This window comes from Homo sapiens, chromosome 17, assembly GCF_000001405.40.
Source record: "Homo sapiens chromosome 17, GRCh38.p14 Primary Assembly".
In the NCBI taxonomy this organism is placed as follows: Eukaryota; Metazoa; Chordata; class Mammalia; order Primates; family Hominidae; genus Homo; species Homo sapiens.
Window position 1 is genome coordinate 1,370,649 of NC_000017.11, and position 18,567 is coordinate 1,389,215.

General features: G+C 45.2%; 1 protein-coding gene across 2 annotated transcripts in view; it reads right to left on the reverse strand.

Moving 5' to 3' along the window:
- Positions 1–18,567, reverse strand: part of YWHAE (tyrosine 3-monooxygenase/tryptophan 5-monooxygenase activation protein epsilon) — a 55,948-nt gene that overhangs the window by 26,374 nt on the left and 11,007 nt on the right. The gene's annotated exons all lie outside the window — the stretch shown is intronic.

The following is an 18,567-nucleotide window of genomic DNA, read 5'->3' on the forward strand; positions in this document are numbered from 1 at the left end:
TTAAACTCCTGACCTCAGGTGATCTGCCTACCTGCTGTGTTAACAGGCATAAAAACAACATTGCAGGCTGGGAGCGGTGGCTCACGCCTAGTAATCCCAGCACTTTGGGAGGCCGAGGTGGGCAGATCACGAGGTCAGGAGATGGAGACCATCCTGGCTAACAAGGTGAAAACCTCGTCTCTACTAAAAGTGCAAAAAAAAATCAGCCGGGCATGGTGGCGGGCGCCTGTAGTCCCAGCTACTCAGGAGGCTGAGGCAGGAGAATGGTGTGAACCCGGGAGGCGGAGCTGCAGTGAGCTGAGATAGTGCCACTGCACTCCAGCCTGGGCGACACAGCGAGACTCCTTCTCAAAAAATAAAAAATCAAAAAACATTGCTCTCCTTACACAACTACATCAGAGCTCCAGGGTGACCAAGTACTGTGTGTGAGTGTGTGGTAGTGTGTGTGTGTTTTGAAACAGAGTCACACTCTGTCACCCAAGATGATACAGTGGCACCATCTCAGTTCACTACAGCCTCAACCTCCCCAGCTCAAGCGATCCTCCAACCTCAGCCTCCTGAGTAGCTGGGACTACAGGTGTACGCCATTACGCCCAGCTAATTTTTATTATTTTTTTGTAAAGACAGGGTTTTGCCATGTTCCTCAGGCTGGTCTTGAACTCTTGTGCTCATGTGACCCACCCATCTCGGCCTCCCAAAGTGCTGAAATTACAAATGTGCACCACTGCACCCAACCTCGGTGCATTTTCAATGTGCAGTAATACATTGAAGGGAATTTTTTTTTTTTCTGAGTACCAAGCTTCAACAGTGGGCTTAAGATATTCAGAAAACCATGCTGTAAACATAAGTGCTGTCTTACAGGCTTTGCTGTTCCATTTATAAACCAGGCAGAGTAAATTTAGCATGATTCTTAAAGAGGCCTCAAATTTTTCAAACAGTCAATGAGCACTGGTTTCAATTTAAATTCACCAGCTGCATTAGTCCCTAAGAAGCTGCATCAGCCTGTCCTATGGAGCTAGACACACTGACTTCTCTCTAGTTAAGTGAAGTCCTAGACAGCATTTTCTTCTAACACAAGGCTGTTTTGTCTACGCTGAAAATCTAAGTGGTGTGGTCACCATCAATAATGTTAGCTAAATCTGGATAATTTGCTGCAGCATCTACATCAGCACATGCTACTTGACCCTGTACTTTTTTTTTTTTTTTTTGAGACAGAATTTCACTTTGTCGCTCAGGCTGGAGTGCTGTCACAACGTCTCAGCTCACTGCAACCTCCGTCTCCTGGGCTGAAGCGATTCTCCTGCCTCAACTTCCCGAGTAGCTGGGATTACAGGCGTCTGCCACCACGCCCAGCTAATTTTTTGTATTTTTAGTACAGGCAGGGTTTCACCATGTTGGCCAGGCTGGTCTCAAACTCCTGACCTCGTGATCCGTCCGCCTCGGCCCCCCAAAGCGCTGGGATTACAGGCGTGAGCCACCGCGCTCAGCCGACCTTGTACTTTTTAAGTAATGGAGATGGCATCTTTCCTTAAACCTTACTAACCAACCTCTGCTAGGTTCCAGCTTTCTATCTGTAGCTTTCTCACCTCTCTCAGCTTTCTTAAATTTGAAGAGAGTTAGAGGGTTGGTCTGAATTAGGCTTTGGCTTAAGGGAATAGTATGGCAGGTTTGATCTTCTATTCAGACCACCAAAACTTTCTGTCAGCAAGAAGGCTGTTTTGCTTTCTCATCATTGCTGTGTTCACTGGACTAGCACTTTTTAATCTCCTTGAAGAACTTTTCCTTTGCATTCACAACTGTGGTGCAAGAGGCCCAGCTTTCAGACCGTGTCTCGGCTTTTAAGGTAGCCTTCCTGACTCAGCTTCATCATTTCTACCTTTTTATTTAAAGTGAGAGACTGGGACTCTTCCTTTCTCTTAAACACTTAGAAGCAATTGCAGGGTTGTTAATCGGCCTAATTTAAATATTGTTATGTTTCAGGTAATAGGTAAGCCTAACGGGAGGGAGAGAGACAGGGAGTCAGAACACAAACAAGAGCTCACGCCTGTAATCCCAATACTTTGGGAGGCCGAAGGCAGGAAGATCATGTGAGCCTAGGAGTTCAAGACCAGCCTGGGCAACAGGTGAGACCCTATCTCTACAAAAAATACAAAAACTAGCCAGGCATGGTGATGTGTGCCTGTCGTCCCAGCTTCTCAGGAGGCCGAGGCAGGAGGATTGCTGGAGCCTGGGAGGTCAAGGCTGCAGTGAGCATTCCTGCCTGGGTGACAGAGTGAGACCCTGTCTCCAAAAATTAATAGTAAAAGAACACAGGCCAGGCATGGTGGCTCACGCAGTAATCCCAGCACTTTGGGAGGCCAAGGCGGGCAGATCACATGAGGTCGGGAGTTCGAGACCACCTGACCAACATGGAGAAACCCTGTCTCTACTAAAAATACAAAAAAATTAGCCAGGCATGGGGGCGCGTGCCTGTAATCCCAGCTACTCGGGACGCTGAGGCAGGAGAATCGCTTGAACTCAGGAGGCGGAACTTGCGGTGAGCCAAGATGGCGCCCTTACACTCCAACCTAAGCAACAAGAGCGAAACTCAGTCTCAAAAAACAAGCAAAAAAAGGAATACACACATCTATCAATTAATTTCCCTCAGTTCACGGATCCCCAAAACAATTACAATAGTAACGTCAAAGATTACTGATCACAGATAACCACCATTAACATGTAATGAAAAGTTTGAGGCCGGGCGAGGTGGACTCACGCCTGTAATCCCAGCGCTTTGGGAGGCCAAGAAGGGTAGATCACAAGGTCAGGAGATGGAGACCATCCTGGCTAACACGGTGAAACCCCGTCTCTACTAAATATACAATAAAAAATTAGCCAGGCATGGTGGCGGGCGCCTGTAGTCCCAGCTACTCGGGAGGCTGAGGCAGGAGAATTGCGTGAACCCGGGAGGCGGAGCTTGTAGTGAGTAGAGATCGTGGCACTGCACTCCAGCCTGGGTGACAGAGTGAGACTTCATCTCAAAAAAAAAAAAGAAAAGTTTGAAATACTGCACAAGGTACCAAAATGTGAACAGAGACAAGAAGTGAGCACCTGCTGTTGGAAAATGGCACCAACAGACTTGCTCAAAGCGGGTTCCAGAAACCTTCCATTTGTTCTGTAAAAATGTAGTATCTGTGAAGCACAATCAAACAGGGTGTACCTACGAACAGAGCCATACAGTATGGAGCCTCCCATGACTGGCTTCTTTCCCAACACAACCTACCGTATGGAGTCGGCTGTGACTGGCTTCTTTCCCATAGCATGGTCTCAAGTTTCATGCCTAGTGTAGCATGCATCAGTACTTCACCTACTGTATGGATATACTATGCTTTAAAAATCCATTCATTAGGCCAGGTGCGGTGGCTCACGCCTACAATCCCAGCACTCTGGGAGGCAGGTGGATTACCTGAGGTCAGGAGTTCAGACCAGCCTGGCCAAAACATGGCAAAACCCCGTCTCTACTAAAAATACAAAAATTAGGCTGCCATGATGTCTAGGCGAATGTCTGTAATCCCAGCTACTCGGGAGGCTGAAGCAGGACAACTGCTTGAACACGGGAGGCGGAGGTTGCAGTGACCCGAGATCGTGCCACTGAACTCCAGCCTGGCAACAGAGCGAGACTTGGTCTCAGGAAAAAAAAAAAAAAATCCATTCGTTAGTTAATGAACATTTGGGTTGTTTCCATTTTTGGACTATTATAAACAATGCTGCTACGAACGTTCTTTAAGTTTTTGTATGAATAAATGCTTTCAGTTCACTTCAGTATACACCTAGAAGGAACTTCAGGATCACATGGTAACTAGCTTTTTGAGGAAGGACATCCCAAACTTTTCTACAGGAGCGGCACCGTTTTTACACTCCCACCAGCAACACAGGATTCTAATCTGGCCACGTCCTCAGGAACACTTGTTAGTTATTCTTTAAACTAGTCATCCTAGTGGGTGTGAAGCTGTATCTCTTTGTGGTTTTGATTTGCATTTCCTTGATAACTAATAGTGTTGAACACCTTTTCATGTGCTTATGAGCCTTTTGCGTATGTTCTCTGGAGAAATATCTATTCAAACACTTTGCCAAATATTTAATTATTTGTCTTTTCATTATTGGTATGTAGGAGTTGTTCATTTTTAAAACCCCACTGACTCCTCTTAATTCCCCCAACCCCCTCTGCATCCCTTAAGGTAGCAGATTAAGGAACAGAAGTAGCATTGAGTCAGGAGACACTTCTATTGCTTCAAGAGACAGGGTCTCACTACGTTGCCCTGACTGTATGTCGTGCAGTGGCTATTCACAGGCCCATGATCACAGCGCACTATGTAGCCTTAAACTCCTGGCCTCGAGTGATCCTCCCACCTCAGCCTCCCAAGTAACTGGGACTATAGGTGCACACTACCAAGCACATCACTCCTTCAAGAGTATGGAAAGTCAACTTCTCAATCTCTCCAAACATTCTACGACCAGTGCTTTGTACCAGTTTGTACAAATAACGACTACAATGACACTCTCTTCCAATATCACTGTCATCTTTATCCTTTTAACACCAGCAACAGAAACATAATACTAATGATAATGTACCCCAAAACTATATAAGAAAAGCTGATTTATCCAAAACTCTAGACTAACTACACCCTTCAGCCCTCCCTCAGTAGAGGATGAACTCCAACCATTATATTCACATAAAGGCCCTCAACACAACTAGCATTTCCTGAAATCACCTTTGCGGCAAGTATTTTATCAGTGGGATGTGGGCATTTCACGGGTGGGGGAAGGCTGTCATGTGTTTGCAGCAGGTGGGATCGCAATTTAAGAACCAAAAAACTGAAATGGTTGAAATCACTTCTTTTGGATCCACGGGCAGTTTTGCTACAGTAATTTTGAGTAACAAAATCGAATTTCTGGGACTTTTCATGGTTTGGGGACAAGGGTGGGTGATTAAAATCGCCACTCTGAAAAACATACTCCTCACAAGTTAATTAAACATAGTTAAGTCTCTTTAGTTCCAAGTAAGTTTCCCTTCATTGTATGGTAATAGCCTAGACACAGATCCACCACATGGAACCAGCTTGTGTCTGGGACACCCATCATCTGCTGCTGCCAGTAGAGTCACAAGTTTTTCCCCTTGACTTGTTAACTGAGGTTTGGTTTGTGGTTGTGTTCTTTCAACTATGTTGTTCATTCAACAGACTAATTCATAAATAAAACACCCCATTTCAACTATGTTGTTCATTCAACAGACTTATTCACAAATAAAACCCCCCATGCTAAAATAGGCACTGTTCCAAATGCTTCGCTGTATTAATGTGCTTAATCTTCTCAACAGACCTCTGAAGTGGGTACCAGTATTATCCCATTTTAGAATATCTCCATATACTGAAGAACACGAAGGTTAAACTTGTTCCAGATCACAAAGCCAGTGGACTACAACTCAGGGAATCTGACTTGAGTTGTGCTTTGATTTAATCATATTGCCTCAGATTTGAATATTTATTTGAATGCATCTGTACGAGGATCCTTTTGTTTGCTTCTGTGACAATAGAGGGGAAATAACTGGTTTCAGTGACTCTACCAGAGAAACAAGTTTCACATACTAAAATGTGGTTGAGACCCAGGCATGGTGGCGTCTGCCACCATGAGAGAAAGAACGAAGACAGAAAGACAGACAGAAAGACAAGAAAGACAGACAGACAGACAGAAAGAAAGAAAAAGAAAGAGAGAGAAAGAAAGAAAAGAAAAGAAGGAAAGAAGTTCACTCCTGCTTAAAACGCATTTCTTTTTCCACCTAGAGGTTCACCCCTCTCCCAAAAAAAGCTTACTTTATTCTTTTCTCTTAAAGAGACGGGAGTCTTTGTATGTTGCCCAGGCTGGTCTCCAACTCCTGGGCTCAAGCAATCCTCCCACCTCAGCCTCCTGAATACAAAAAGCTTAGTTTCATACCTCTAATATCTTTACATCAACATCCCAGTAAACCTGATTTTCCCAAGACTGTCCTTGCCAGGTAGTAAAACAAGTCTCTGCTGAGCTTCAACAGTTTCTGATAAACACAAAGTACAAAATCATAAAAGGAGCAGGTCTCCAACTATCAGGCTGACAAGTCACAAGGCACAATTTACAGCTCCTAATGAAATTCAGGGTCAGGAAAAAAGCAAACTGTTCAGAATCTGCCATGGGAAAAACGAGCAGGTTCTGTACTGGCTGACAGGATTAATGTTCCTCTTACCAAAGCACACAGGGTCATAACCCTAACTTTTTTTTTTTTTTTTGAGACAGAGTCTAGCTCTGTTGCCCAGGCTGAAGTGCAATCTCACTGCAACCTCCATCTCCCATGTTCAAGTGATGCTCTTGCCCCAGCCTCCCTGGTAGTTAGGACTACAGGTGCCCGCCAACGTGCACGGCTAATTTTTATATTTTTAGTAAAGACAGGGTTTCACCATGTTGGCCAGACTGGTTTCGAACTCCTGACCTCAGGTGATCCACCTGCCTCGGCCTCCCTAGGTGGTGGGATTACAGGCAGGGGTTACCACACCCGGCCCTAATCCTGATTTTAAGGGCAGAAAAATGAAGCTAAGAGTAATGTTCCTAAAGTCACACAATGGTAAAACCCAAACTCAAACCCAGACAATCTAACTTAAGAGTCTGAGCTTTTAGCCATCACACTTCAATGACTTTGCAACCAGAGTGCTCACAGAAACAAATTCCTTAGCCCAAGAACAGTAAAAGCAATCACACCAAGGGAAGAAAAGGGCACAGCATCAGGCACTGACATAAAAAGGTTCTGTCAGAACCGGAAATGTGGCTCACACCTGTAGTCAGTCCCAGCTACTCCAGAAGCTGAGACAGGAAGATCGCTTGAGCCCAGGAGTCCGAGGCCACAGTGAGCTATGATCATGCCACTGCACTCCACCCTGGGCAACAGAGCAAGACTCTGTCTCTCAAAAAGAAAGAGTTCAGTCACTTAGGTTCTGGAAAGGTCCTGAGCTTGCTTTATATAAAGGCTAATCAATTAGCCAATGACCTTTCCTTTTTCCTAGGAAACATCATCCCTCTGGATCAAACTCAAATGTCTTACTATGTAAAGACTTCCTGGCTGGAAGCAGTGGCTCATGCCTGTAATCCCAGCACTTTGGGAGGCCGAGGCAGGTGGATCACCTGAGGTCAGGAGTTCGAGACCAGCCTGGCCAACATGGTGAAACCCCGTCTCTACTAAAAATACAAAAATTAGCTGGGCATGGTGGCGGGTGCCTGTAATCCCAGCTACTCGGGAGGCTGAGGCAGGAGAATTGCTTGAACCCGAGAGGCGGAGGTTGCAGTGAGCCAAGATCGCGTCACTGCACTCCAGCCTGGGCAACAGAGGTGAGACTCCGTCTCAAAATAAAAGTCTCAAATTGTTTTTATGGTTTGGAGGGGATAGTATGCAAGTTTGTTGGAGAGAAACTTACAAGGTGCTACTTACTAAGAAATTTACCTTGCGGATATTTTCTTAAAAAGGAGTCATCACAGAAAATGTATGCCTAGATTTACATGTGAGAAGCAGTCTTCAATTGGATACTTCTGACCCCATGAAATAACTGAGGACATTTCTGCAGAAGGCTGACATATGAGAATGCTCAGGAATTGTGTGGCTTTCAAATAATCTGATTCAGCTTGGACAACCTCCAAGGAATGAATAAAATTAGGCAAAAGCTTGACAATCACTAAACATAGTCAATTCACAGATAATTCATGACAATCAACATTCTGCCTTACTGATTTCTAAAAGGTCCCAATATCTTGCTAGTCACATGACAACTCTCTTGTTACTATTCAGAAATATAAAGATGGAGCAAAATTTTTTCTAAAACGATTATCACGCACCTTCTCTATCACACTGACAAATAATCTGGGAAGCATCAGTTCTGTACTAAAAAGCATGTCTAAAAAGCCTGACTCAGACCATTTCAGGAGCAATACTACTCGTTTACTATAAAAGAAATTCAGTACAGGCCAGGCACGGCGGCTCACGCCTGTAATCCCAGCACTTTGAGAGGCCAAGGCGGGTGGATCACCTGAGGTTAGGAGTTCAGGACCGGCCTTGGCCAACATGGTGAAATCCCGTCTCTACTAAAAATACCAAAAATTAGTTGGGCATGGTGGCACACACCTGTGATCCCAGCTACTCGGGAGGCTGAGGCAGGAGAATCGCTTGAACCTGGGAGGCGAAGGAAGTTGCAATGAGCAAAGGTCATGCCATTGCATTCCAGCCTGGCGACAAGAGCAAAACTCTGTCTCAAAAAAAAAAAAAAAGAAATTCAGTATGATCCCCAAGAAAGTTACAAAACATTCTCAGATGGCTAACCTGAATTATACTGGTTTTTAAACATTAAATCTCTGCCCAAATTTGGCAATTTTAATTTTATCATAATTAATTCAGCTGCTTGAAGCCTGCTTAAAGTTTGCGATGTCATCACTTTAAGGTTGACTATACTCATGTCAGTGTACTTCCAAATCACCTAAGAGCCCTATGGGATGTTAAGACACACTTCAGATTTTACATGGCCTCACGCCTGTAATCCCAACACTTTGGGAGGATGAAGCGGGCAGGCTGCTTGAGCTGAGGAGTCTAAGCCCAGTCTGGGGAGCACGGCAAAACTCCATCTCTACTAAAATATAAAAAATTAGCCGGGCGTGGTGGCACACACCTATAGTCCCAGCTACTCTGGAGGCTGAGGTGGGTGGATCAACTGAGCCCAGGAAGTCAAGGCTGCAATGAGCTGTGATCACGCCACTGCACTCCAGCCTGGGCAAAGAAAGCAAGACTCTGCCTCAAAAGAAGATTTCATACATGCAAAACTTCTAATTCGAATGACGAAAAAAACTATCAACTACACTAATTCTAATAGTAAATAACATGGAAAGAATCTAAGAATGTAACAAAATGTCAAATCTGTAGCTTGAGGAGTCTTAAATCATATTTTCTTAGAAAAACAAAATGCAAGAATAGTGATCACTAGTTCTACTCAATTAAGATGAGCAAAAGGCTGGGATGTACCCTGGAGCGTGTTACGATGAGTTATGAAGGAAGGAGTACTTGAGGTAAACAGTTGGACAAGATTTAGGAAACACTCCTGGAACTTGTTTTAATTTAAGCAAAGATTTAAAATTGTGTAAAATGAACAGGATTAGTTGGTTGACATGTAAATTATACTTTGTGTTCAGTACGGTGAAAGAACCAGAATGCTGTAAACAGAAAATAATGGAAGTACTCAGAAGCTTTTCTGAAGAGGCCCTATTCTAGTCTACTAACTTTGACTATTATTGTAGTACCCACATACCACGTGCACTTTTATTAGACAAAAATGACACACACTTTGGGAAACAGCACAGGAAAGTCCCACCACAGCACAGCAAACACCACACTTACAGCAAAGAGTTTCAGACTAGAAGACTAGACTTTTTTTTTTTTTTTTTTTTGAGACGGAGCCTCACTCTGTCGCCCAGGCTGGAGTGCACTGGCACGATCTCGGCTCACTGCAACCTCCGCCTCCCGGGTTCAAGAGTCTCCTGCCTCAGCCTCCGAAGTAGCTGGGATTACAGGCGCACACTACCATGCCCAGCTAAATTTTGTATTTTTAGTAAAGGTGAGGTTTCACGATGTTGACCAGGATGGTCTCGAACTCGTGACCTCAGGTGATCTGCCTGCCTCAGCCTTCCAAAGTGCGTGAGCCACCGCGCCCAGCCCAGACTAGATTTTCATTCCTGCTTATTCATATGCTATTTGACCTCAAGTATGCCACATAATCTCTAGGAGCTTGTTCCTCATCCATAACATGGAGGATATCCAGCCCTGAGTTATGAGAGTTTAAAATGAGATTGTAGAGTAAATTGTCTGGCATATAATATGAATTCAATTAAATGTTTAATTTCTTTTCTTCGCCTCACTTCCAAGATTAAATAACAAAAAAACAAAACCGGAATCCAGACGGGTGGGGGTGTTAATGTGCCTGATGTAGGAAAGAGCTAAATAAAGAACACAGCGTTTAGAATCTAAGTCTAATAAAGCCTTTTGCAGAATACAGCTCCATTTTTTCTAACCCAGACTTTCCATTCTTACATCTCATATATTTAATCCCATATCTGTGCTTTTGGTAACATATCCAAAGAACCTCACTCTCCCAACATCCAAATCTTATCCCCCAATTAATGTCTCACCTACTATTCAAGTTTTCCCCGACAACTGCAGCACACAATCCCTTGTTCCCCTTCTCTACAATTCCTGTATTATACAAGCTAGAAATCATCATTCTGGTTTCTAGCCACAGCTTGCCTGATTAGACTGTAACTCTTCCATAGTAGGTATTATAAGTAACGATTTTATTACTCACAAGGGGAAAGTTGTTCCCCATACATGCTAAAGAAATACATATTGATTAAATGGTCCAAGAGGCTGGGCGCAGTGGCTCACGTCTGTAATCCCAGAACTTCGGGAGGCTAACAATCACTTGAGGTCAGGAGTTACAGACTGGCCTGGCCAACATGGCGAAACCCCACCTCCACTAAAAATACAAAAATTAGTCCGGGTGTGGTGGGATTACGCCTGTAATCCCAGCACTTTTGGAGGCTGAGGCGGGTGACTCACCTGAGGTCAGGAGTTCGAGACCAGCCTGACCAACATGGAGAAACCCCGACTCTACTAAAAACACAAAAAATTAGCCAGGCGTGGTGGCTGTAATCCCAGCTACTCAGGAGGCTGAAGCACGAGCATCCCTTGAACCCGGGAGGTGGAGGTTGCAGTGAGCTGAGATTGTGTCACTGCACTCCAGCATGGGCAACAGGACAAGACTCATCTCCAAATAAATCAATAAACTCAAAAAAATAAGTAAATAAAACACGAAAGGCTCAAGAATGCATGTAAAGGGGGGAGGGGAATTTCAAACTATCAACTAATCAAAACGTAACATAAATGCACTGAGGAAGGCCGAGCGCAAAGGCTCAGGCCTGTAATCCCAGCACTTTGGGAGGCCAACGCGGGTGGATCGCTTCAACTCAGGAGTTCAAGACCAGCCTAGGAGACATGGCGAAACCCTGTCTCTACAAAAAAATACAAAAATTGGCCAGGCCTGGTGGTGCATGCCTGCAGTCCCAGGCATAGGACTGAGGTGGGAGGATCACTGGAACGTGAGAGGTCAAGGCTGCAGTGAGCCCAGACTGGCCCACTGTACTCCAGCCTGCACGAGAGAGCGACACTATGTCAAAAAAAAAAAAAAAAAAAAAAAGACAGGCAGACAGAAAAGGAAAAAAAAACACAGATATATAGGCACTGGAGCAAAGAAAAAGTTATTAAAGGAGACTCAAACCACTGACAAGTTACTTGCGGCATAAGTAGTAGTTTTTTTGTTTGTTTGTTTTGAGATGGAGTCTCGCTCTGTCACCCAGGCTGGAGTGCAGTGGCGCAATCTCGGCTCACGGCAACCTCCGCCTCCCGGGTTCACGCCATTCTCCTGCCTCAGCCTCCCATGTAACTGGGACTTCAGGCGCCCACCACCATGCCCGGCAAATTTTTTGTATTTTTAGTAGAGATGGGGTTTCACCGTGTTAGCCAGGATGGTCTCGATCTCCTGACCTCATGATCTGCCCGCCTCGGCCTCCCAAAGTGCTGGGATTACAGGCTTGAGCCACCGCGCCCGGCCTTTTTTTTTTTTTTGAGATGGAGTCTCACTCTGTTGACCAGGCTACAGTGCAGCAGCGCAATCTCAGCTCACTGCAAGCTCTACCGGCAAGCTCCGCCTCCCGGGTTCTGGCCATTCTCCTGCTTCAGCCTCCCAAGTAGCTGGGACTACAGGCGCCCACCACCAGGCCAGGCTAATTTTTTTTTTGTATCTTTAGTAGAGACGGGGTTTCACTATGTTAGCCAGGATGATCTCAATCTCCTGACCCTGTGATCCACCCGCCTCGGCCTCCCAAAGTGCTAGGATTACAGGCGTGAGCCACCACGCCTGGCCAGTAGTTTTCATTATTTACTTGATATGGCTGTACTGCTGACTTTACATTTAAATTCATCTTTTGCAGTAAGAAATGAAAAACAGGCCAGGTGCGGTGGCTCATACCTGTATTCCCAGCAATTTGAGAGGCTGAGGCCAGCGGATCACTTGAGGTCAGGAGATCGAGACCAGCCTGGCCAACCTGGCGAAACCCCATCTCTACTAATAATACAAAAATTATCCAGGTGTGTTGGCATATGACTGTAATTCCAGCTACTTGGGAGGCTGGGGAAGGAGAATTGCTTGAACCTGGGAGGCTGAGGTTGCAGTGAGCTGACCTCATGCCACTGCACTCCAGCCCAGGTGACAAAGCAAGATTCCGTCTCAAGAAAGAAAAAAAAAAAAAAGGCAAAACAAAAGTGGAAAAACTGGCTGGTCGTGGTGGCTCACGCCTGTAATCCCAGCACTTTGGGAGGCCGAGGCACATGGATCACCTGAGGTCGAGAGTTCGAGACCAGCCTGACCAACATAGAGAAACCCCATCTCTACTAAAAATACAAAATTAGACAGGCATGGTGGCGCATGCCTGTAATCCCAGCTACTCTGGGGGCTGAGGCAGGAGAATTGCTTGATCCTGGGAGGACGAGGTTTCCGCGAGCTGAGATCGCGCGATTGCACTCCAGCCTGGGCAACAAGAGCGAAACTCCGTTTAAAAAAAGAAATGGAAAAACTATTTCACATACTGTTTAACTTTTTTTTTTTTTTTTGAGACGGAGTCTTGGTCTGTTGCCCCGGCTGGAGTGCAGTGGCACAATTTCAGCTCCTGGCAACCTCTACCTCCCGGGTTCAAGCAATTCTCCTGTCTCAGCCCCTACCAGAAGATGGGATTACAGGCACGTGCCACCACGCCCGGCAAGTTTTTGTATTTTTAGTAGAGATGGGTTTCGCCATGTTGGCCAGGCTGGTCTTGAACTCCTGACCTCAGGTGATCCACCCGCCTCGGCCTCCCAAAGTACTAGGATTACAGGTGTGAGCCACTGCACCCGGCCCTTGTTTAAACAATTTTTTAAAACACAAGTTTTTAGTTAAATTTTGTGCTGCACAATCGTAAGTTGCTAGTATTATAAACAGTTAATAAACCTTTTCAGAAAATAGAGTATTCCCGCAATCTCCGCACTTTGGGAGGCTGAGGTGGGAAGATTTCCTGAGCCCAAGAGTTCAAGACCGGCCTGGGCAATATGGCAAGACCCCATCTCTTCACACATTTAAAAAATTAGCCGAAGAGGGCTGGGCACAGTGGCTCACGCCTGTAATTCAAGCACTTTGGGAGGCCGAGGCACGTGGATCACAAGGTCAAGAGTTCAAGACCAACCTGGCCAACATGGTGAAACCCCATTTCTACTAAAAATACAAAACAATTAGCCACGCGTTAAGCAGGTGCCTGTAATCCCAGCCACTCGGGAAGATGAGGCAGAGAACTGCTTGAACCCAGGAGGCGAAAGCTGCAGTGAGCCAAGATCCAGCCACTGCTCTCCAGCATGGGAGAAAGAGCAAGACCCTGTCTCAAAAAAATAAAAATAAAAAATAAATTAGCCAGGCATGGTGGGCACACCTGTAGTCCCAGCTACCCAGGACGCAGAGGTGGGAGGATTGCTTGAGCCCAGGAGGTGAGGGCTGCAGTGAGGTGTGTCTGCTACTGCACACCAGCTTGGGCAAGAGTGAGACCACATCTCAAAACATTAAGAGTACACATGTAAAAAGATTTATGCTCGACCGGGCGCGGTGGCTCACGCCTGTAATCCCAGCACTTTGGGAGGCCAAGGCGGGCAGATCACAACGTCAGGAGATCAAGACCATCCTGGCTAACACGGTGAAACCCTGTCTCTACTAAAAATACAAAAAAAATTAGCCAGGCATGGTGGCAGGCACCTGTACTCCCAGCTACTCAGGAGGCTGAGGCAGGATAATGGAGTGTATTTTGTATTTTGAGGGTTTCACCAGGCTGGTCTTGAACTCCTGACATTATGATCCATCCGCTTCAGCCTCCCAAAGTGCTGGGATTAAAGGAGTGAGCCACTGCGCCCAGCCCAGAGTTTTTCTCTTGTTGCTCAGGCTGGAGTGCAATGGCGCTATCTCGGCTCACTGCAACCTCCGCCTCCCGGGTTCAAGAGATTCTCCTGCCTCCGCCTCCTGGGAGTAGCTGGGATTAGAGGCATGCGCCACGAAGCCTGGCTAATTTTTTTTTGTATTTTTAGTAGAGACGGGTTTCTCCATGTTGGTCAGGCTGGTCCTGAACTCCCAACCACAGATGATCTGCCTGCCTTGGCCTCCCAAAGAAATTTTTTTTAAAATCAGTTTCAGGTTTGTTTTTTCTTTTTAGAGGAGTCTCCCTATGTTGCCCTGGCTGCCTTGCAGTGGCTATTCACAGGCATGACCATAACACTCCTTGGCTGAAGCTCACCCTCTACTGCACTCCACCCTGGGTGACAGGGAAAGACTCTGTCTCAAAAAAAAAAAAAAAAAAAGTAAAGATAAAATGAATACAGAAATGTTGGCAGCATTCTGAAACCAGAAAAGTTAAAGGTTAAGAAAAAATCTGCAGCAATAAGATAAAGGCATTAAGACCATGTTAATGATGTGCAGTTATTCATTGTTGAGAAGATGAAAATCTACCAGCAACTGGTCTAGAGGAAAACACCAAGGTCCCCTGTGATCAGTCCCCCAGGCCTCCCAACTACATGCCTCAAAAGTCATCTACTGAAAAGGTACACAACGAAAAAGTACACCATACTGCAATTTACTAAGTTCCCAGAGCTTCTTATCCAGCCATTTATAAAGCTCTAGTCCCAAATATCAGTGGTCCCCAACCTTTGTGGCACCAGGGACCAGTTTCGTGGAAGACAATTTTTCCACAGACCAGTATGGGTGCATGGCCTGGGCACTGGGGACCCCTGCATGTATCAAAGAGTTAAAAACAAAGTAGGTTTTTCAGAGGGTGGGGGAGGAGGGAAGGAAGGAAGACGGAGGATGCAGGTGGCCTGCTCCTGAATTTAATGGCTCCTATCCCAATACTAGTTCCATTACCTGTTACCTGCAAAATATACTCAGCCTACATTCCATTCTGTCTTCTTCATACATTAAAGACAACACTATTCAGAGAGAAGCTGAGCCAAAAGACTGCTATAATCCCAGCACTTTAGGAGGCCAAGGCAGGAGGACTTCTTGAGCCCAGCTGAAAGACCAGCCTGGGCAACACAGAGACCCCCAGTCTCCACAAAAAAGGGGGAAAAAAAGAAAAGAAAGCCTCAAGCAGTCTGGACTGACGTTTACACACAAGAAACTCCTTCCGAAGTGGAAGGAGTACCAGCTTTGCAGGGCACCAGCCTTGGCAGAATACCAGTGACATTTCAAATGTGTTGTCACTTTTCCTCAAGTACTGGATCCTTATCTGTAAAATGGGTAGTACTTTGCATGGCTGTTTGGATAACAAGTGAAAGAAATAGCCAATAAACAGTAGATGATATTATTATTACAGGGTTTCATCACAATGAAACACTTTAAAGAGGTTTTTCAATTTGTTAGTACCATTTTACACCAGTAGTCAGTGAAGAAACACTGAGCTTTCTACAGTCTTTAACATGGGACACCCAGCAACTGATACAGTACCCTGCATATACCAGACACCATTGGTGCTAATTAATTTAAACTAACTCTTAATTACACATAGGAACAGAGTAACTCCGAAAGCAATCATACATTCACTAGAATATAAAGTCCTTGAAAAGATCTTTTGTCTATTTTGTTCACTGATGAATCCCAAGTGTCTAAAGTGTCTAGAACAGTGCCTGGTACATAGTCGGCATTCAGTAAGTATTTGTCAAATGAGTTTGGGAACTTGTTTTTTAGTACTTTAATACTTTGATTAAGGCTTTTCAAAAGACAATAATCTTGACACTCAAGGACAACTTTTACTCTTCATATACCAGCCTATACAGAGGTACCTCTCCTCACTCTAAAAGTAACTACATGAGCCAGGCACGGTGGCTCACGCCTATAATCCCAGCTCTCTGGGAGGCCAAGGCAGGCGGATCACCTGAGGCCAGAAGTTTGAGACCAGCCTGGCCAACACGGTGAAACACCCGTCTCTACTGAAGAAAAAACAAAAATTAGCCAGGCATGGTGGCAGGTGCCTGTAATCCCAGCTACTCAGGAGGCTGAGGCAGGAGAATCACTTGAACCAAGGAGGTGGAGGCTGCAGTGAGCCAAGATCGCGCCATTGCACTCCAGTCTGGGCAACAGAGTGAGACTCCGTCTCAAAAGGAAAAAAAAAAAAAAGAGGAAAACATGAATTGTGTAACCTTCTATGAAACTTTAAGACTCCTTTCCAAATCAGCTTTTGCTAGGTTAAAAAGAAACAAAAACAAGACAATCTTTTACCAAGATTCTACAATTTTGACTGCAAAAGCTACTTTTCCCTTTGGTCTCAATATTTAGGGCAGGGTTGTGCTCACTTTGGCAGCACATGTACTAAAGTTGGAATGACACAAAGATTAAAAAACAAAAATAAAAATATTGGGGGTGGGGGAGTAATCCCCTGCTCCATCAGAATGGGAGATTTCTCCTCTCAATTTACGAGGATACTCCCTCATAAACACGTTCGGCTGCAGTAGAACCAAACAGGTGAAGCTCCAGTGAAACCTGAGGTGGAAAATAAGAGGCTGGGGAGATCAATGACCTAAAACACTAAGTACAGGAAAAACAGGTAGATCAAAGTCTGAATCTTTTTACAGTTTTTATGGAATTAGAAAAGACACTGAAACAAAAAATACTTTAAAATTCTGTTTTGGAATACTAAGGAAGAAAATGACCACAAATAACCCTTGGGTCCAATTCGGTTTAGTAGAAGGATTAACTTTACATTCAGATTTTTAAGAAGTTTGACATGTTTTCTCAAGTGGTTGAGAGTGTTAAGCATTTCTTTGCGGGGGTGGGGGCAGTAGGCGGGGATGGAGTCTTACTGTTTCCCAGGCTGGAGTGCAGTGCCACAATCTCGGCATTCTGCAGCTTTCTACCTCCCGAGTTCAAGCGATTCTGCTGCCTCAGCCTCCCGAATAGCTGAGATTACAAGCGCACGCCACCACGCCCGTCTAATTTTTTGTATATTTAGTAGAGACGGGGGGTCTCACCATGTTCACCAGCCTGATCCTGAACTCCTGACCTCAGGTGATCCACCCTTCTTGGCCTCCCAAAGTGCTGGGATTACAGGAGTGAGCCACTGCACCTGGCTTTTTTTTTTTTTTTTTTTTTGACGGAGTCTCACTCTGTCGTTCAGGCTGGAGCCCAGGGGCACTATCTCGGCTCACTGCAACCTTTGCCTCCCGGGTTCAAGTGATTCTCCTGCCTTAACCTCCTGAGTAGCTGGGATTACAGGCACGTGCCACCACCACGCCTGGGTAATTTTTGTTTTTTTTTTTGGTTGGTTTTTTTTTTTTTTTTTTTTTTTTAGTAGAGACGAGGTTTCACCCTGTTGGTCAGGCTTGTCTCGAACTCCTGACCTCGTGATCTGCCCTCCTCGGCCTCCCAAAGTGCTAGGATTGGCCAGGCGCTGTGGCTCACGCCTGTAATCCCAGCACTTTGGGAGGCTGAGTTGGGCGGATCGTGAGATCAGGAGATCAAGACCATCCTGGCTAACACGGTGAAACCCCGTCTCTACTAAAAATACAAAAAATGAGCCGGGCGTGGTGGCAGGCGCCTGTAGTACCAGCTACTCCGGAGGCTGAGGCAGGAGAATGGAGTGAACCCAGGAGGTGGAGCTTGCAGTGAGCCAAGATGCAAGTGGAGCGCCACTGCACTCCAGCCTGGGCAACAGAGCAAGACTCTGTCTCAAAAAAAAAAAAAGTGCTAGGATTACAGGCATGAGCAAACCATGCCCAGCCTTTTTTTTTTTTTTTTTAATAGAAACGGAGTCTTGCAATGTTGCCCAGGCTGGTCTCAAACTCCTGGCCTCAAATGACCTCCCACCTTGGCCTCCAAAAGCAATGAGATTACAGGTATGTCAATTCTTTGATGAGCTAAGAAACCCCCATCAAAATTTCAACACTTTAATATTTTAATGTTTCCTAAGTAGTATATTCTGCATTAAGTATTTCATACTCATGAATGTGTTTCTAAAAATCTACAAAAACTGTCATAACTGTCATACAACAGTGACAATATTTTCTGGTCAAATAACGTTCTTGAAAATTTCACGGTAATCCTATCATAAATCTTAACTATTTTACAAGTAAACCTATTACAATCAAATACAAGTCATTAATCCCACTAAATCTTTCTCCTTTCCTTTTTGAGACAGGGTCTCACTATGTCACCCAGGTGGGAGTGCAGTGGTCTTATCATGGCTCACTGCAGCCTCGACCTCCCGGGCTCAAGAAATCTTACCACCTTGGCCTCCCAAGTAGCTGAGACTACAGACACATGCCACTAGGTCAAGCTAATTCTGTTTCTTTTTGTAGAAACAGGGTCTCACTATGTTGCCCAGGCTGGTCTCAAACTTTTGGGCTTAAGGGATCTTCCCGCC